The sequence below is a fragment of the Homo sapiens genome, chromosome 2 (assembly GCF_000001405.40).
Source record: "Homo sapiens chromosome 2, GRCh38.p14 Primary Assembly".
Lineage (NCBI taxonomy): Eukaryota > Metazoa > Chordata > Mammalia > Primates > Hominidae > Homo > Homo sapiens.
This window is the reverse complement of record NC_000002.12, coordinates 238,319,468-238,339,569: the sequence shown is the minus strand read 5'-3', so window position 1 is coordinate 238,339,569 and position 20,102 is coordinate 238,319,468. Positions and strand designations below refer to the sequence as shown.

General features: G+C 47.4%; 1 protein-coding gene across 10 annotated transcripts in view, besides 2 other annotated features; it reads right to left on the bottom strand.

Annotated features, from left to right (window-relative positions):
• Nucleotides 1–19,052, bottom strand: part of TRAF3IP1 (TRAF3 interacting protein 1) — an 80,383-nt gene extending 61,331 nt beyond the window's left edge. For 4 of the 10 annotated variants that reach the window (XR_922902.3, XM_011510944.3, XM_017003789.2 and 1 more), the window contains exons 1-9: nt 18,785–19,052; nt 14,196–14,264; nt 13,600–13,761; nt 10,741–10,884; nt 10,228–10,644; nt 6,675–6,746; nt 5,535–5,610; nt 2,717–2,818; nt 1,113–1,208 (exon numbers count right to left, since the gene is read on the bottom strand). Coding sequence is in view for 9 of the 10 variants with exons in the window: in XM_011510944.3 (XP_011509246.1) it covers nt 1,113–1,208; nt 2,717–2,818; nt 5,535–5,610; nt 6,675–6,746; nt 10,228–10,644; nt 10,741–10,884; nt 13,600–13,761; nt 14,196–14,264; nt 18,785–18,907 (1,261 nt within the window). In the remaining variant the exon portion in view is untranslated. The remainder of the gene's footprint in view (nt 1–1,112; nt 1,209–2,716; nt 2,819–5,534; nt 5,611–6,674; nt 6,747–10,227; nt 10,645–10,740; nt 10,885–13,599; nt 13,762–14,195; nt 14,265–18,784) is intronic. The other 6 variants (XM_011510948.3, XM_006712414.3, XM_011510946.3 and 3 more) reach the window with 5 other exon arrangements.
• Nucleotides 18,559–18,788: a silencer, noted in NCBI's record as "silent region_12496". NCBI's record gives its function as "represses an Ori minimal core promoter by ATAC-STARR-seq in GM12878 lymphoblastoid cells {active_cell/tissue: GM12878}" and the evidence as "EXISTENCE:reporter gene assay evidence [ECO:0000049][PMID:35858748]".
• Nucleotides 18,919–19,398: a silencer, noted in NCBI's record as "silent region_12495". NCBI's record gives its function as "represses an Ori minimal core promoter by ATAC-STARR-seq in GM12878 lymphoblastoid cells {active_cell/tissue: GM12878}" and the evidence as "EXISTENCE:reporter gene assay evidence [ECO:0000049][PMID:35858748]".

The window sequence follows — 20,102 nt, the reverse complement described above, 5'->3', positions numbered from 1 at the left end:
TGAGGTCCTAGCTAGCTGGGTGGGGGCTACCAGGAGTCCACCCCTCAGGCTTTCGCCACTGCCTGCTGCCCTCTCCTGCAGTGCAGGATTGCAGTGTGCCTGGGTGTTTCCCCCCAGGCGCCTGGAGATGAGGAAAGCTCCCACAAAAAGAAAACATACATCACCAAGATGTGGTTGAATGGTAACATGCATGCCTGTATGGCAGGGGCTCTCTTCAGTGGAAACACCCTGCTCCAGCTCAGTCACCTTTTCCTCCGCCATCCCATGCTACTGAAGACCCAGACAACTCCCATATAGTCACCCTACTTGGAATAAAATAACCACAGATCATCTTTCACACTGCGGCTGCTGTACCAAGTGCGCCCACTCCTGGAAATGCCAGCTCTCAGGGGAACGCACACAGAGAGAGAAGGATGTGCTGATCGGTATTCCAGCTACGCTCCAGAACGTGTAAAAGTCAGACAGATACAAGGCAAGTTGGGCCCAGCAAAAATTTCCTCTTCCCCTAAAGTCTAATTTTACACTATTTTTACCTTAAGTGAAACTGAAGAATTCTAGCATCTTGAAGAATTCCGTCTGAAGTCACAGATGACAGTGGTTACTGATACTGAACCAAGGACCACCCCCTCTGAGGCAGCAGGACGAGGGCTGGGCACACCCACCACACGGCTGGACTGAATGTGATTGGCTGTGACAGGCCAACTTCCCCAACGTGCCTAACTAGCACTTTAAACATCTCTACTGCGAGCATTTTCTGAGTAGAATAAAGCAGAGCAGGACGAAGACATAAAAACCGTTTCTCTATGTCATCAGCCACACCACTGTGAGATCCCGACAGCAAGATTAAGAAAGCATTTTGACTGAAATGTAAAAATAATCTATGTATAAAAAGGCATATAATTAACTAAAAGCTGAGTTAATAAAGTTACATAACTTAGCATATTAAAGCAAATAAAACCTCAAGTTATGTCCAGTCTTCAATACATCATGAAAAAGTCTCATGAACATTAAAGTAGTTAGAATAATTTTTTAACAATGTATAACTACATTGAGATATAACCATTCACATTAAAGTGGTGAGGAATTTAAACTAAAGAATATATTTTTCTTACCTATTTCTGATGTTGTCGTTTCCTGATTTGGCTCATTATTTATTCCAGACACTATGGAGTCTAAACTTTTAGCTGAAATATTATCCTCCTTCCTTCCTGACATAAAATAGTTAACAACAGATTAAAATATTATAAAAGATTTTGTGTTTGGTTGTTTTAGCTGGGATTTATAAGGGTTACATTACACCAAGGTCACCAGCAAACTGTCTTGTCAACTAAATGGTCAATTCTCAGCCTCCACATGATTCCCCTCCTTAGAGCTTGACAAGAAGCCCCCTCTCCTTCCCTAACACTTTCTTCCTCTCCAAGTTTTCCTCCAACTTGTTGGCCTTCTGTTTCCTTTGCAAGGATGATCCTCCCTCCTCCTCTTCCTCCTCCTCCTCTTCCTCTTCTGACCTGGGGGACCACAGCAAGCTCTGGAGTTCACCACGTCCTTTCCTACCTACACACGCCCCTGGACTAATTACTGCGCAAAGGTCCATGTCCGTAAACATCACTTGTATGCTAGAACTCTCCATTTTTTGTTTTTCCCTTTGGTTTCTCCAGCTCTCTCCTGATCTCCAAGTCAATATATCCAGCTGTCGACTAGATGTTTCTACTTGGTTGGTCCATAGCCATCTCAAATTTGTTGTCCAACACAGAATTCCTAACACTGCCACCCATTCCACCAACCAGTGTCTCCCAGAACCGTCTATGTCAATAAAGGCCACCCCCTAGGAGCCCAGACCCCTCCCACAATGAATCTCATCTTTGATTCCTTTCCGTTCAAACAAGTGGCATCCAACCTGCCAGCACAGTAAACCCACTCTGCTGTCACCACTGGCACTCTGGTCCAAACCATCACCTCCTCTCATCCAGATGCCATGGCCCCCTCCTCGCTGCGCTGCAGCCTTTACTCCTGCCACTCCACAGTTTTAAAAGGAGGCCTTCTACAACCTAAGTCAAATCTTGCCTCGGTGCTGCTTAAAACTCTTCAAGGACTTCTGTGTGCACTCACTGTAAACCACACAGCTGCTGTGGACCGGGAACAGCAGCTCCGGGACCAGCAGCTCCAGGCCCTGCTTCCTGGCCCGGCCCTTTCCCCTATCACTGTTCCTCTCTCCACCCACCTCACCACTCACACACCTGCATGTCCTCCTTCACCCAAGTCAGCTCTCTGTCCAGATGTCCTCCCTCAGAGAGGCCCTCCCTGCTCACGCCCCTCATTCCTGCTCCTCTTGGCTTCATTTTCCTTGAAGATTCATCACAAACTAACATGCACATATGTACCCCTGTGTTCTCTTTATTATCATAAATGTCTGCAGAATCAGTGAAGGAAGGCTCAAATGGACAATTTAAGCCTGTGATTGACTCAGGGTAGGAAATCCTCACCTGGCCAGGGGCAGCCCTGCATGGGGCCAACATGTCCCTCTGCCCCCTCTCCACCCTGGCCAGAAGGCAGTGTTCTAGAGCGCAGGCCCCAGGTCAAGCAGGGCCACACCTATGCCAACCACCCCCACAGACTTCCACATGTTCAATGACCAAGCAGAAGCACAGGACCAGGCAGTAAAGCTTTCAACTCTCAACATTCACTCACAGCCTCCACTATGGTTCACTTAGCTTACCAAGCTGTTTCATGCTATGTTCCTTCTTAGCTTTACAGTAGGAAAAGTTATGTTCCTTTTCAGGGGAAAGACTATTTTCACTGGTTTTAGGGTCCCTTCTTCCTGACATAAAATTGCACAATGAAAATATATATTAAACTTAATCTGTAATGTAATGTAAAGCAGTTAACAAACAAATGAAATTAAAATGTACTCATTAAGTCAAAGTGATCAGCTCTGTATGCACTACTTAGAAATAAGCAAAAATTATAATATTCTCAGGCAGAATGCTTTCTGGATTCTGCAGGGATTCCAGAATGACTTTAAGAGTCTAAATATGTTTAACAATGTGATACCCTCACACCCTGTAGTAAAGTCTCATTCATCCCCTTGAGCAAGACACAGAGGTCCAGTGTGTCACACACCTCTGGGTACTGAGCATTTGCCCAAATGAGAACCTACTTAAGCGAGGCAGAATGTTCAGGCAGAGTGCCAGCTTTGCTGGGGAACCCACAGGGAGGTCAGTGCCCGGCTAGCAGGAGGGGAAGACAGGAGTCCACTGAGCTGTTGATAGCTCAGGGAAGCTCAGTGTCAAAAAGCCCATAAATGTCTGCTAATAAAATCTCTTAAGACCATACAAAAGAACCCTAGAGCACAAGCTCACCAGTAAACACAGATGCACATATCAGAAGCAATTAGAAAAGAAGAGCAGATGATACAACTGTCTGCTTAGGAAAGCCAAAAGAATCAACAGAAGAACTACTGGATTAAGAGGCAACAACAGGCCAGGCACAGTGGCTTACAGCTGTAATCCCAGCACTTTGGGAGGCTGAGGCGGGCAGATCACTTGAGGTCAAGAGTTCGAGACCAGCCTGGCCAACATGGTAAAACCCTGTCTCTACTAAAAATACAAAAAATTAGCTGGGCGTGGTGGCATACACATGTAATCCCAGCTACTCAGGAGGCTGAGGCAGAAGAATCACTTGCAGTGAGGTTGCAGTGAGCCATGATTGCGCCACTGCACTCCAGTCTGGCAACAGAGTGAGACTCCGTCTCAAAATAAATAAATAAATAAATAAATAAATAAATAAATAAATAAATAAATAAAATAAAATAAAATAAACCAGCGAGCAACCACTGTGACCAACATACGCAACCAAGTACACGCAACGTGTTCTCAGAAGAGGGGGACACCTTCACTAAGCTGAAGTTAGAGGTGCCTAAACTTCCTAAACTAATGAAAGCATATATTTAACACAAGTCCAGTTAAATTCTGAGACGTTAGTTTATTTTGCAAGAGTGGAATTCTTGAGTCATGAAGAGTTTTTAAAATTCATCCGGAAGAATAAGCAAATAAGATGGCTTAAAACTTTTTGGAAAAGAACAATGATAGAAAACTAATAGTAAAAATAAAAAAGTGGAAGTAAAAAACACCACACACAAAAAAGCCCGTAACCCAGACTACAAAAGGCTTCACAGAGCAGGAGAGAAGCATTCAATGAATAAGTGATCCTGGAACCACGGATGGATTATTCTGACAAAATAGATTCAGAGCCTCACCTTATACCATGAATTAAAGTAAGAGATAACATAAGAAATTAAGTAAAAAAAAATGTATGATAAAGCACAAATCTTCACCTCTCAAATCTCTGGACAGATTACCAAAAAAAAGATTAGAGGCCTCAAGCACATAACAGTTTAACACTTAGGCAAATCAGAAACCAAACCAAATATAATTAGTAGAAACAAACTGAAAAAGAAACACTCATGCAAAAACTGGCAAATTGGCAGATGTCCTTAACATACAGCACGTGCAAGCAAATCAGTAAGAACCCAGAGAAACCAAAGAACAGGCAGGTCAGAGACGCCCAAAACACTCACACGCGATGACAAGGACCATTTCACTGGTCATCAACGTTTTTGTTTTTCGTCCATCAAAATCAGCATGCCTTAACAACACTGGAGAAGGTGTGGGGTGAAGGGTCATTAAGGGCACGCAGTAGCCATAATGCCACACCCTTTGTGCCAGCCACTGCGCTTCTGGAAACCTACCCCACAGCGGTCAACCAAAAGACAGCAAAGGCTTCTGGCACTAAGCTGGTCACAAACGCATTACTAATTATTGTGCACATGTGGAACCTACCATCTAAGCCTCCTTTCTAAGGCGAAAATTCCCACTACTACATCTTGCCACCCTTCTTTAACTTACACACTTTAGGAAAAGGATGATTTTTCAGAAACTAGCACTGCTCATTCAAAGTAACTTCATACTTCAATGAAAAATAAGCCTCCAATGCCAGTGGCCTCCAACAGGGCTTCCCTGCATTTGCCTGACACTCTTATGTTAGGCAAGATGATAAGGTACTATCCTTCAGCGGACCGCAGGCCAGGCCTGTACATTCGGCTTTTAGCATGGCTTCCAATCATAATTTCTGCAGTTTTTAAACACATAAACATTATCTGCCTACATGCTCTATATCCAACCTGCATCAGGATTAAATGCAGACTGCCAACGCAAAGGACAGAACTACTGAAATGAAGATGGCTGATAAGTATTTCTGGAAAATGAAAATTTGATCACAACTTTTAGATTTCAACACAGATCTCCAGCAAAGAGGGGCTACTCTGCCCTGATGTCATCAGTTCACACACTTGTGCACACACGCATGTGTATGTAACAGCCACAAATCTTCATTATTTCCACACGCTGTTCATTCCCAGACACAGCAAGTCTGTTTTCCAGCCATAGGAGTTCTTTCCTACTAGACATTGAGATTAAGACAAAAAAAAAAAAAACTAATATCCATATTTTCAGCTACATATATAAGTTTTGCAGTACCTTCCACTGAATTTTTGGATCGCCGTTTTGATGTTTTTGTTGTCAATGACTTGGAAGCTCTAGTGGAAATCTCAGTCTTAAAGAAAAAAGAATGAAAAGAAATTAATTGATGTATTACACAGCAGTATCATAAGCAGGTTTATTTTTCAAGCTCTTCTTGAGGAAGAACAAGTATGAAATCCAGCAATAGTGCCCATATGCTTTAAAAACTCAATACTACTAAGGACTCAAGACCTGAGACTGTGAATTACACGGAGGCCAAAACCCTTTTCACACTATATTTAGAATTCCATCATTCTGTACAGCCCTAAAAAGGTCAACAATCTGCTCCCCACACTTTGAGAAACACTGTCTTATTGGATGTGCTTATGAGGACTCCACTTCTGTTGCTATATACTTAATTACTTAAATGCACTTGTAAGCAACTCAGAAGGTAAAAATTTACATATATTTAAACAGAACACAAATCAAAGGAAACAGCACATCCTATTCCTCCCTCCACTGGCACAGTTCCAGTCTCACCACCTCTCTCCCCTAACTGGCCTCCCAGCCTCTACTCTATGCCTAACCCATCTCCCTGCAACCTCCTGAAGACCTCCTGAAATGCAAATTGGATTACGAAAGTTGGCTTCAACCTCTCAGTGGCCCCTACTGCTTGGGATGAGTGTAACCTCCACAAGACGGCCCACGTGGAGATGATGAGCTTCTACCATACCCAGCCCCAGGAAATGCATCGCGGAGTCCTGAACAGGCCAACCAGAGGTTGGAGGGGTCCCTCCCACTGGCCCCGTCTGTCTGGTGACTTACGCCTGCCTCTTCCAGACTCATCCTGAGTGCCACCTCCCCCTTCTCCCCAAAATGACAGCCCTATCACACCACATATCACACTTGTCATATAAAGGCATAAGTAAACCCAGGAGTGCCCCACAGAAAATCAGAGAATACACACACCCATCTATTTTACCAGGAGGTAAAGCATTTAACTGATTACTTTTACAACCAAATAAAATGGACCTATTACAGATAGGCCCAGACCATGTGCTCCTTCCATGCCTCAGTGGACCCGGGGAGCGCACAGCATTCACTATTTCAACACAGCTACAAGTTGACATCTCTTAAAAGTTATTTTTTAAAGTTTACCTCTGTTTCAGCCTTGGAGTCTTTAAAAGTTCCATCTGATAACTTTTTAGACATCTCCCCTGAGCTTGCTGACTATTAAAAAAAAAAAAAATTCAAACTTTAGAATTATTCCAATCCATAATATCTAAAAATATGCCAAGATATTTTCTATAACACTGACCAACAGTGAAATCATTCTTCCCATGAGAACACCACATCGCCAGTCCAGCTCTGATCGCCACAATTGTTACTGCTGCCTGCGTTCCCCAAGAGTCTTCCGAGCCAATGGCAGGGAGATCTCTTCCCATAAGGGCAGAGTAGGTGGGCAAGGACTTCAAATACTCCTGACTCTCAGGAAGCTACACAGAACACGAATCCCTACGCCACACCGAACTTCCTGGAAACATATCGCAATGAAACCCAGGGATCTGGAAGTGAGGGAGGGAATGAACAATATAAACCTCCAACACCCACGGAGAAACTGCTCCTAGCCGCCTCTGCTGATCACAGGCTAACTTTATTAATAGAATGGGGCAATTCTTTTTACGCAAAGGCTTCAGACTTTAAGTGAGGAAAGCACTCTCATAACATAAACTGCATGAAAACCGTAAACACCATCTTATCTCACGCCTTAAATCACTTTTCCAGAAGACATATCTCAGAGTAGAAGGAGTAGAATGATTATCTTCATTGAGATTTTCCTCTAGGAAGACTGAAAAGCAAAGAATGCCTGTTCGATATTTCAACAATTCAATGTCCTCATAAGTTAATTATGAAGGTATCAGATTGTATCAGCAGTAATTACCCATGACTGCAAGCTGGGCACTGCACACGTGCTACCCATAAAAGAGGCAGTTAAGCAGGGGCCTGGGACCCCCACATGGCCAGTCTAACTTAGCACCTGGCCTCTCAACTGCACTCTTAATTTTCCAAGTGTTTTCATATCTACTATTTCACCTCTTCTTCGCAAAAGCCCATGAGGTAGCCTAGGATCTCATCAGCCTCTCTACTAGACAGAAATAAAATGGGGAAGAGGACAAAGAATGACTGAGGCAGAACCGGGGTTAGAACTTGAGTCTCTTGCCTCCCCAGCGTAGATGTGAGTAAGGTCCCTGGGAACAGGGGTTCCTCGGGAGGCGCCTCACAGCAGCTCACACCTGCCTGGCGCTTTTTACCAGAGGAAAGGACGCAGCTGCCTCCCAGACCTACGCGGCTCAATGAAGAAGCCCCCAGATCGTCCACAGAAGAGCCTGGCAAGCACAACCACCATGCGAGATCCACGCAAATCTCACGGCAGCCAAGTAAGCAACAGCCTCGAGTAGGAAAAAATCACTTCGCCATGGTCTCAGACGCTTTTAAACAAAACCACCATTATACTTGGCTCTGATATGTTCCCAAATATCAGCCTCTAAAAATTTCTTTTTGTTGTTGTTGTTGTTTGAGACGGAGTCTCGCTCTGTCACCCAGGCTGGAGTGCAGTGGCGTGATGTCAGCTCACTGCAACCTCCGCCTCCCGAGTTCAAACGATTCTCCTGCCTCAGCCTCCTGAGTAGCTGGGACTACAGGCACGTGCCACCACACCCAGCTAATTTTTGTATTTTTTTTTTTTTTTTTTTTAGTAGAGATGGGGTTTCATCACCGTGTTGGCCAGGATGGTCTCGATCTCTTGACCTCATGATCCACCTGCCTCGGCCTCCCAAAGTGCTGGGATTACAAGCGTGAGCCACCATGCCCGGCCGAGCCTCTAAGAATTTCTTTGGAATGGTTTCTCTCTACTTAAAAAGCCAGTCACCTCATTAGCAGTTTTAGGGAACATAACGTGGGGACCCTCAATCCGAAGGCTTTGTGAGCTGAGGAAGGTTAACCCCTTCCTAGGATGCCTCATGCACAGCAAAATACACCCGAATATACTAGTGCCTCAGAAAAATCAGGTCCATGAAAAATATTTTTTCTTACACCTCTAAAAAGGAGCAAAAGATGGGGAATGTCTTTGTAATTCCTAAGACTCATAAGGAAAGCCAGGTATGACACATATCATAGGGTACATTACTCCAGGATGTGCAGTGGAGGGGGAAAGAGTGACATTTTAAATAGTAAAACTCCAAAGTGCCTTGTAGAACACTACGTTCAATTACTAACAAAACCACAGTCTTGCCAGTAGGCACCCCCCATCCCACTGTGACCCACAGATCACAAAATGGGCTTATACTGACCCCCACAGGAAAGCCTGGTTTACAGGATTCCCTCAGGGTCAGTCCTGTGGCGCCCACCCACCTCCCCTGGGCAGGCACACCCTGAGACGCAGTGCCACAAGACAAGATGGCTGTCCCGGGAGGAAGAGGCCATGGCACCAGCTCAGGCCCTGCCCCTCACTGCCCGGCCGGATCAACTGGGCAGATCTGGATCCCTTCCCGACCTCAGTGTCCTCCTTCCTAGCAGCTGGAGACAAGATGATTTCCAACATCTTCGCGGGATGCTTTACAATTTGACATCCCCCAAAGAATGCGTGTCTGGGTGTCTGGGAAAACGTCCCCAACACACATGGTGGGTCCAGAAAGAATTCACACATTGAGAAAACAGTTTGAAACCAACAGGACTTCCTGGCAAACCCTAAATTTACCTGAAAATTTAATTAAACAATAATTACAGTAAACTCAGGTCTTATTGTACTTATCTGCTGATGCCTAAAAGCCCTTGAAAGCAGCCCTAATCCTTAATAACTGAGCAATGTCCATGCTCCTAAAGACACCACATGCACAACTCAGACTGCGCATAAACACCGCTTGCAATGCTAAGGTGGAGGCTGCTCCAAAGCCTTCAGAGCAATACTGAGAGTGACACAAATGACACAAACGACACGCACGGGAGAAGCAACACATCTTAAAACACCTGCAAGACAAGGACAAGAGCAACTTGGCAAATCAGCTCAAACTCTGAAAAACGTTGATTTCTCTACATGCCTGGTGGGGAATCATTAAACCCTAAAAAGAGCAAGCATTTAATATTTTCCTGACATCCCCCTTCAAATTATCTTCTACCACTCCCAGATCAAAATTCCATAAAGGGAGACCTCAGAAACCACCATCAATTGATCAATTCCATCCAGTGTTTCATGATCTGAAAAGCCCATCACCCCTTGCCTGGATGCTCAATCCATTCCACCACCAAATATTTACTGCAAAGCTGCTATGTGTCAGACACTCTATCAGACTGGGCATCCAACAGTGAACATGAGTGAAATCTCTAGCTTTTGCTCTTAGGGAGCTTATAATCCAGCAGAATTCTCCCTGGACATGAAGTAGGAAATGGTTAAAAACTCACTGAATAATGCCTTAATAAATGATTGGCTGAACAATAAACTTCTATTAGGGGATGAACAAAAAAACCCAAAACACAACTGACAAGAAATAAGTATCTCTTTGGGTTTCTATTGAGAATCCAAGATTGTCATCATTTTAAATAGGCATAAAAGAAAACCAGTTTCCTAGTCATATTGTAAGAAAGGTAAAAATCATGTTTGAGACCACCACAAACTCTTGCTAAGCAAAAGGCGAGGTTCTCAGCAAGACTTTACCTTTTTCTCAGGTTTGTCATGCTCTCTGTTCTTCTCCCTGTCCAGGTCCCAGGAGTGCTCCCCGTTTTTCACTCTCCGTCTGTCCCTGTCCTTCCCTTTGTCCCGGTCGCGCTCTCGGTCCCTGTCTCTCAGTCTCTCCTTCTCTTTCCCCCCCTCACTCTTTCTCTCTGTCTCCTTCTTGCGCTCGGAGTCTCTGTCCCGCTCCCTGTTGCCTCTGTCTTTCTGTCGCTCGTTGTCTGGCCTGGCCCGGGCTTTGGCTCTCTCTCTCTCCCCTTCTCTGTGTCTGTTTCCGCCATTCTCCTTGGCCTTCTCCTTGTCCTTGTCCTTTTCTCTTGGCTTGCGGTCTTCTTTCAATTCTTCCTTCTGTTTTCGATCTCTGCTTGTACTTCTCTCTTTTATTTCAGCGTCTCCTCTATCCTACGAAATAAAAATAAAATCATTTATGAATATTTTTACCTAAACTACAAAAAGACTCACTATTTCATTTTCAAAGATGTGCGACTTGGAATTCACCTCTGTATTTTTGTGAACTCTGGACTCTTCTTCTCGCACATTCTTATTATCCAATTCCTGAGATCTTGAGGTCAGTGAGGCCCGGCCTTTCACTTCTCCCTTCTCTCCAGCTAAAACCCTCCGCACCGCATCGTCACTAGAGAGCTTGTCGTCCAAATGGAAGGAAATGAGGTGTTAGGTGAAATGAGATCCGCACACGTAACAAATAGAACATCGCCATTCAAAGATAGCTCATGAGACAGATTCTCTGTCTACAATGAAATTCAAAGGATAAAATATTTTTTGAACATGTTATTATCACATACAAAGCACAGCATATCTTGATAACTATTACTTTCAGCACTTTGGTCACTAACAGTAGCGTCCACCCAAGCTAAATGAATCCTGGTTCAAGTCTACCCAAGCTGTCAAATGTGAATGTGTGTGTTCAAGGTTAATAAAGCTGACCCATGCAACTCTACTACAAATACCTTAAACTTCTAATGGGATCATAGAATCCCAGCCATAAGTGCCTTAAGATTTTATCTAACCACCTCACACCCATTAGGATGGCTGCTCCTAAAAAAAAACACACAAAACCACAAGCATTGGCAAGGATAAGGAGAAATTGAAGCTCTCATGCACTGTTGGTGGAAATGTAAAATGATGCAGCCATTATGGAAAATAGTATAACAGCTCCTCAAAAAATTAGGCACAGATTTACCATATGACCCAATAATTCCCCTTCTGGGTATTTATCCAAAAAAATAGAAAACGGGGTCTTGAAGAGATATTTGTATACCCATGTTCATAGCAGTATTATTCATAATAGCTAAAATGTGGGAGCAAACTGTACCATTGACAGTTGAGTGGATAAACAAAATATGGTATATCCATTACAATGGAATATTATTCAGCCCTAAAAAGCGATGAAATTCTGATACATGCCACAACATGGATAAACCTTGAGAACATTATATTAAGTGAAATAAGCCAGTCAAAAAAATGACAAACACTCTATGACCCCACTTATCCGAGGTCCCTAGAGTAGTCAGATTCATAGAGACAGAAAGTAGAATGGAGGGTGCCAGGGGCTGGGGTACGGGAGAAGAGGAAGTTAGTGTTTCATGGGGACAGAGTCTGTTTTGCAAGGAGAAGAGTCCTGGAGATGGAAGGTGGTGATGGCTGCAGATGAATGAATTTACCAGCACTGAAGTGTACACTTCAACATGGTTAAGATGGCAAATTTTATGTTTTATGGACTTTAACACAATAATAAAATTATGGGTAAAAAACCACTGATCTGATTCAAGCCCCATCAAACGCAAAAATTCCTTCTCCAGCATCCCCGACAGCCATCCAGAGTGCAGGACACCTCAGTCAGGAGTCCCACTGACTCACGCACTCATTCCACAAGCACATGCTGCGTGATTGCCGCGTGCCAGGCTCCATTTAGGCCAAAGACACACCGTGTACTGGGGACACAGATAAACACAACAATTAAACAACAGCCTATAGGAAGCCTACAGGGGCACCTAAGTCAGCCTGGGAGGGAGGAGAGGCCCAGGCTCAAGGAAGCACTCACAGACGCCACATTGTTGCTGGGTGAGGCTGGAGGAGGAAGGCAGCTCAGGTACCAAGAAGCCAGCAGGCACCAGGGCAAGAGGCCGACGGGAGACAGCCGGCCAGGGCCGAATGCAGGGGTGCGTGGCGACTGGAATGGAGGGCTCAGATATGGGAAACGAGAGAAGGATCTGAAGGGAGAGAAGTAGCAGCAGGTCTCTAGGAGCCTCACAAGCTGTGCCATGGAGCTGGCCCAGACCCGAGGCTACTGGAAGCCGGAGATGATTCAGCAGAGGAGACAGGAGCCAGATGTGCTTTTTAGAAAGATGAGAAACATAAAGGACCCGGGAAGGGGAGCTGGGGAGCCTAGGGACAGAGGCCAGTGTACTGGCAAGATCTGCTTCCAAGTCTCTAAGTTTGCATGCTGGACCTGCACTGGGGGGGCCTCCTAGGAGTCGGCCTGATACCACTATGCACCTCCACTACCCACTGCTGTTGAGGGGGCTGAAACCTACCTGTTCCCATTTGGGTCACATTTAAGGTTAGCCCCCAGCCAACCACCCACTAGGTATGTGAAAAACTGTATTAATTACACTCTCAATACAAGTCCAACCTGCTCCTCCACAGGGCACTACTCGGCCCTCAAAAGAAGGAAGACCCTGGGGAAAGACCTTCTCCAACATTTGGGCAAACATGGCCCAGGCTGGACCTAACTAGAGAAGCCTGAGGCCTTGACACCCAAGTTTCTAGCCCACAGTGAAAAGCTCAAGAAAGAAAAAATCTACTCCCCGTACAACTGAAACAGCAACCGAGAGAGAGAGAAAAGGTGGAAGAGAGAGAGGAAGGGCAACAGGCAAGCAGACACCAGAGGCTGGAGATGGAGGAAGAGAACAGAGACTCCCATAAGACCCAGGGAAGAAGAAAAGCAGCTCCTGCAGCCACTGCAGCCCTGGCTGGAAGCAGCCACCTGTCCTCAAGGGAGCCTCAGAAAGGAGAAAGCCAGAGGGCATGGAAGCCTGGGCCTGCAGCCTCCAGCCTCCAGCCAGGCACAGTGTGCCTGCAGGGTTCCCGACTTTCTACTGAAAGCTTGCAGAACTTGCGTATTACATACCCTTATTTGTTTTATCATTCAGTATTAAATTACTCCTTCTGTATCTCTGGGGCTCCAGAAGGGGTGGGATCAGATTCAAAGCACAGTGTTTGACAGACACCACTGAAACTCCTTCCCTAAACCGCCCGCACATGTGAGTCCCTCACCCCCGACTACTTTTTACTCAAGTACTAAGTAAGTTCAAAATGCCAGGACAGCAGTAGTACCTTGTTGAGACAGCATTTTCCAATTATCTGGAGCAGCTCGTTTGTTCTTTCAGGCTCATGCCCCGCCACGATTCGGGCTGGTTTGGCCAACAGTGGCTCTCCCGACACCATTACAACCACGTCTATGGCCTTTTGTAGGAAGCTAATTTTTGCATCTTTATCCTGAAACATTTCCATTGAAAATACAAATATTACAATACTTTGAAGAGTGTGCATTATCTTCTGTATGTTTACCAGGCATAGGATAGTTTCTGTTTACATACAAAGCTGTTTTTAGATATATAACAAATCTAGAAATACTGACCTTTTACTGACAAAACAAAAACAATTCATTAAAGCCTTTAATTTAGTTGATGGGCTAGCATTAACCTTTGAAATACTAATCCCATTTTTCAGTGAATAAAACTAGCATGACATCCAGTTGCCACAATGAGAAAATGAAATGAGAAAGGGTATATATATCAATTTACGAATTCACTGACCTTGTATTCCAACCACATGCAGCAGAGAAATGACACAAGCCACACTACCAGGCCTACAAAAAATCCCATCCGTTAAGGCGAGGAGTCAATAGGAGAAGCCCGACTCAAACCCACCTTCACATTATCAGACTTCATCTCGGCGTCTGTGTAGAGGCCCTTCATGAAACCAGTCATTCTAATCACCTTCAAGAGAGAAAGAAAGGCCACCATGTCACCTCACAGACAGCCTCCTCATCAGCCTCATCCACTCAACTCCACACTTGGGAGATGTCAGAATTGACTAGCAGCCCAGATTTGAATCATCCACTTAAGAAATATTTGATGTCTACTACACGTGCTGTGCAGGGCAGAAGCCAGCCAGATCCTCTCAGAACTTAGTCTGGCTGTGTGGACAGACAGGTAAAGATGACACCATGCAGGTACTAAGGAAGCACTCAGGCTTGGTACCTAATCCACAATCCGGGAGGGAGCAGGAGTGGCAGGGAACCCTTCCTGGAGGAATCATACCTAGATGGGGACCAGGCTTACAGAAGAGTTGGGCAAGGGGACATTTCGGATGCACATGCCAAACATAAGAAAGTCCACACGGCTGGGTGTGGTGGCTCACACCTGTAATCCCAGCACTTTGGGAGGCTGAGGCGGACAAATCACAAGGTCAGAAGATCGAGACCATCCTGGCCAACATGGTGAAACCCTGTCTCCACTAAAAATACAAAAATTAGCTGGGTGTGGTGGTGCTCGCCTATAGTCCCAACTACTGGGGAGGCTGAGGCAGGAGAATCACTTGAAGCAGGAAACAGAGATTGCAGTGAGCCGAGATCGTACCACTGCACTCCAGCCTGGCGACAGAGCCAGACTCCGTCTCAAAAAAAAGAAAAAAAGAAAATGAAAGTCCACACAAGGTCCAGGACCCACAGAGTCCCCTGCAAGGGATCAAAAGAAATGTAGGACAGCAGGAGCCTGAGGCCAGAGAGACACTCGGGGCCTGGTGCAGAGGCCCTGTGAAGCCACTCAGGGACATGAACTGAGCTGAAGGACCACGAGGAGGACCTGGAACGGCATTTTACAAGAGTCCTTCAGGTGCAATGGAGGGAACAGATTCCAAAAAGAAAAGGAACTTTGGCTGGGCACAGTGGCTTACACCTGTAATCCCAGCACTTTGGGAGGCCGAGGTGGGTGGATCACTTGAGGTCAGCAGTTCAAGACCAGCCTGGCCAACAAGGTGAAACCCCGTCTCTACTAAAAATACAAAAATTAGCCAGGCATGGTGGTGGGCGTCTGTAATCCCAGCTACTCAGGAGGCTGAGGCAACAGAATTGTTTGAACCCGGGAGGTGGAGGTTGGAGTGAGTCAGAATCATGCCACAGGACTCCAGCCTGGGCAACGCAGTGAGACTCTGCCTCAAAAAAAAAGAAAGAAAAGAAAAGGAATTTCTCAACCTAGTTTGCTAAGACTAGAAGTTCTGCAAGGGTCTTTCTCCTCACCACGTGTCACTACTCACTTCTTAAGATGGTGGCAGGCTCCACACCTCACTGCTTTGGTTCTCTCCCTAATCATCCCTTCCCTCAGGTAACCTGTACCTCCTAATTAGCCCTAAAACCAGCTTTTAGGGCAATTATTTTTCCTGTTCCTCTCAACCACCACACCCAGCCAGGGTCCTGGGTTGTCTCAGACTGCAGTTTTTTGAAATGTGGTAGGTTACTGTAAAATCAATACAATTTGTAGCAACAAGCATTTTGAATAGCTGGGACCCTTACCAGCAGGCTGCATGGTATGTGGTAAGGACAGGTATGCTCATAGCCACATATCCTAGGTCAGCTAATAAAGCATATTTATTACGGGAAGACATGTTTTAAAAACAAGACAGTCCCACCCTAATGAGAGCCTCCTCTGGAATCAAGCCACAACTCCTTAATTTGCATCAAGTTAGGTATTAATGAATCTAGGAGTTTTCATTCCACACCACACTATGTAAGAGCTATGCTACTGTTTTTCTTGAGATGACAGGTAGAATATTAAGAGCATCCTGCATTTAACATTCCTGGAACATTTTCATTTTGTCCCTGTTGAGGTTTTCCCAGGATGCTGGCAGTTAAAATTGTGAGCAATAGGCTGGGTACAGTAGCTCACACCTGTAATCTCGGCACTTTGGGAGGCCGAGGCAGGCGGATCACCTGAGGTCAGGAGTTCGAGATCAGGCCGGACAACATGGCGAAACCCCATCTCTACTAAAAATAGAAAAATTAGCTGGACATGGTGGCATGTGCCTGCAGTCCCAGCTACTCAGAAGGCTGAAACAGGAGAATTGCTTGAACCTGGGAGGCGTAAGTTGCAGTGAGTGGAGACTGTGTCACTGCACTCCAGCCTGGGCGACAGAGCAAGAATCCCTCTAAAAAAAAAAAAAAAATTGTGAACAATAACTGTAAGTGACAAGAGACATTAACGTCACAGTATCCACACTTAGCTTAATGAAACGGGGTGGTTAGTGTAGCTATAGCTAAAATACTAATATAGCAATGTGTGTATAATATTCAGTACAGTAAAGCATTTTCATAAGAGGCTCTCCACCTATTATCTGAAAATCCTTTCCAATATGTCAGTCATTCTAACAACTTTATCAAGTAGGTCATAATTTATTTATCTTTACACAGGGAGAGAAATCAACTTTGGCATTAGATGAGGAAGTCTATGGGAGAAGAGCAGACCAGTCGTTCCTAATTGGGAACATGCAACTCGTTCCACACACCCTATCTACCTGGCCAAGAAGGCAATTCTTTTTTTTTTTTTTTTTTTTTTTTTTTGAGACAGGGTCTTACTCTGTCACCCAGGCTAGAGTGCAGTGTTACAATCACAGCTCACTGCATCCTCAACCTTCCCGGCTCAAGCAATCTTCCCTACTCAGCCTCCTGAGTAGCTGGGATTACAGGTGCACCACCACACTCAGCTAATTTTTGTATTTTCAGTAGAGATGGAGTTTTAACCATGTTGGCCAGGCTGGTCTTGAACATCTGGGCTCAAGTGATCTGCCCGCCTTGGCCTCCCAGAGTGCTGGGATTACAGGCGTGAGCCACAGCACCCAGCCCATGTTCCTCCTCCTCTCCCATTAGGATTCCTCTGACCAACTATGCGGTAGTGACTGGACAGCCACCGTGAGCTGAGCGCCATCACTGCCCCACAAGGATAAGGCACACTCCCTGCACCTCCCTCCTGGGGCTCTGCATTTCAGTGGGACAGACAGGCCTGGGAGAATAAAGGTTTTGGCAGCCACAGCTAGAGTGGGCTGGGCTCACACTGGCTCTTGTTCCCTCTGGGTCAGAGGACGGGTACCCGCCTACTTCACGGGACGGTGGTGATGCGGCACATTGTCCCCCTCCCACCGGGCTATCCACACAGCAGGTCCTCTCCCCACACACTGTCCAGGACAGGCTGTAAGTGCTGCACCAGCTGGGAGGACATGACCAGGGCTGGCGAGGCCCTGGGATGTGGGTGGATTCGAGAGCATTTTTAGGCACTGTTTTAACACAGAGGCACACGCTCCAGGAGACCACACGTTATAAGCTAAGGTAGGAGGGCAGAACCAGTAAAGCAAAGTCTGTGCAAGAATAAGGCACCCAACCTGTTGAAAAGAGTGAGAAACAGAGCTTGAGGACCATCACCAGGTGAGGTCATGAGGCCCTGGAAGTCTGCAAGTCCAACCTGAATCCTAAATCCCAAAACACACCTCTGAGTTCCCACGTGCCCTTGGGTCCACCATGGAAATGGGTGCTGCGCCCGCTGCAGTGACGCTCCTGAGAGTTACCAGGGAGTTACCACGAGCCTTGACAGGTCCCACTCAACAGGGGATGTTTGTTGTGCAATTTCTATGTACCTTACCCAGTGCAGATCACCAGAGCCATGCTAATAAGCAAGCCAGGGTCTCCGTCACGGAGGAGCACACCATCCGCAAGTGGAAAAAGCTACAGAGACCACCAATCTCAACGTAGGGCAGGCTGTGCAGCTCTGTTACAGTCTTTCCTGCCAAGTCCCCCTACAGCCGCCTCCACTAAATCCACCCGCAGGCATTTATTAAGCACCCAAAATGTGGTATGGAGGGAAACTTTGGGGCAGAAGGGTTGTATAAAAAATATTATTTCCATTCTCCCAGGATTTAGGGAGTGCCTTCCACGTGCTACATACTTCAGGGCAAGCGAGAGGGGTTCTGCAAGGTTAGACGAGGCAGGAGTCACAGAAGCAGCTCTGCCAGCAATAATGGAAGATGCACTCTAAGGAAATACAAGGGCAGGCAGGGAAGAAGTAAGAATGCTCCTGAGGGCCCGGAGCCTCCTTGTAAGCGGCGGCCCGGAGCCGGGGGAGGGGCAGGACCTCCTCACGGAGGGCGCCGCGGAATTGGGCCTACAGGCCGGGCTCCCAGGCAGGGGCCGCACAGAACTCTCGCCCCGACCCCGGAACTGACCCCGGCCCCCGACCCGCACCCTGTGCCCGGCCCACACCCGGCCCTGAACAGGTCCCCGACCTGCACCCCGAGCCCGGCCCACACCCGGTTCACACCCGGCCCGGGCCCCGACTCCGGCCCAGCCCCGGCCCCCGACCCGCACCTGAGCCCGAGCCCGGCTCGCACCCGGCGCCACCCGGCCCGGGCCCTGACCTCGGCGCCCACCGGAATCCCGACCCGCACCTGGCCGGGCCCGGTCCCCGGCGCCCACCTCCGTGATGATGTCGTGCAGGTAGCGGAACGGGGGCTTGCTCAGCAGCTTCTCGGTCAGCGGCGGCCTCCGAATCACTTTCCCCAGCGCCTCCTGCGTCCGCCTCACCACCGCCGCGTTCATGACGGCGTCCGCCGCCCGCTGGCCGCCCGCGCCCCTCAGCCGGCCTGGCCGAGCCTAAGCCCGGGTCCCTGGCCGCCGCCGGCCCCGCCGCCGCCGCCGCCCGGTCCTGCCAGGACGCGCCGCTCCGGTTTCCATCCCACAGTGCACCGGAGCCCACCACAGCGCCTGCGCGGCCGCCGCAGGGCGTTCGGTCACTAGGGCTGCGCGGCCTTAGCAACGGACGCGCCGCGGCGCCCCGCCCCCTGCCCGCCTTCCAGCGCCCGCGCAGGCAGGAGTGGGGGTTCCGCGGGAGGGATTTGCGGGAGTGCGGCTGTGCCAGAGCAGGCGGGGCGCGGCGGGGCGGGGAAAGGGGATCTGGGATCGGGCGCCTGGCCCCTCCTCTGCCGAGCGACGGCCTCGGGAAGCCGGTGTTCGCTCGCGTTAGAGGCGACTGCCTGAGGACTGATTAAGAACAAGGTAACCTCCAAGATCTGTGCCGCCTGTTTCCCAAATCTCAAGGGCTTTCGAAGGCACTGGTTCATCGGAGGGGACGGCACTAAGTTATCCCAAAACACACGGAATAGAAAATACGCTGTCCTGGCTGGTAATTAATAAGGCTTCTTGGGCAAGTCACCTGTTTTCTCTGAGACTTCACTTCTGCTCCCACAAAGCAGGACTAGTGTGCCCGCTGCCTAACCCACCTCCCAAGAAGGTAAATGGTGACTAAATGCTGTGTCGGTGCTCTGAAACCGGGACAAAGCCATGCCTAGTTGTCCTACTAGGTGTCCGTGATTCTTTACCACCTGTCCTCTGTCCATCATGCACAGGCCTACCGCAGAAATCCTTCCGGCGATTTGAGAGCTCTGGGGTCTGTAGTTCTTCTAATGAGAACACCATTATAACCTTTTTTTTTTTTTGAGACGAAGTCTGACTCTGTCGCCCAGGCTGGAGTGCAGTGGCACGATCTTGGCTCACTGCAACCTCCACCTCCCAGGTTCAAGTGATTCTCCTGCCTCAGCCTCATGAGTAGCTGCGACTTCAGGCTCCCGACACCACACCAGCCTCGCTTTTGCATTATTAGTAGAGACGGGGTTTCACCATGTTGGCCAGGCAGGTCTGGAACTCCTGACTTCAGGCAATCCGTCCGCATCGGCCTCCCAAAGTGCTGGTATTACAGGTGTGCGCGACCGCCCCCATTATAACTTTTAAATTGACC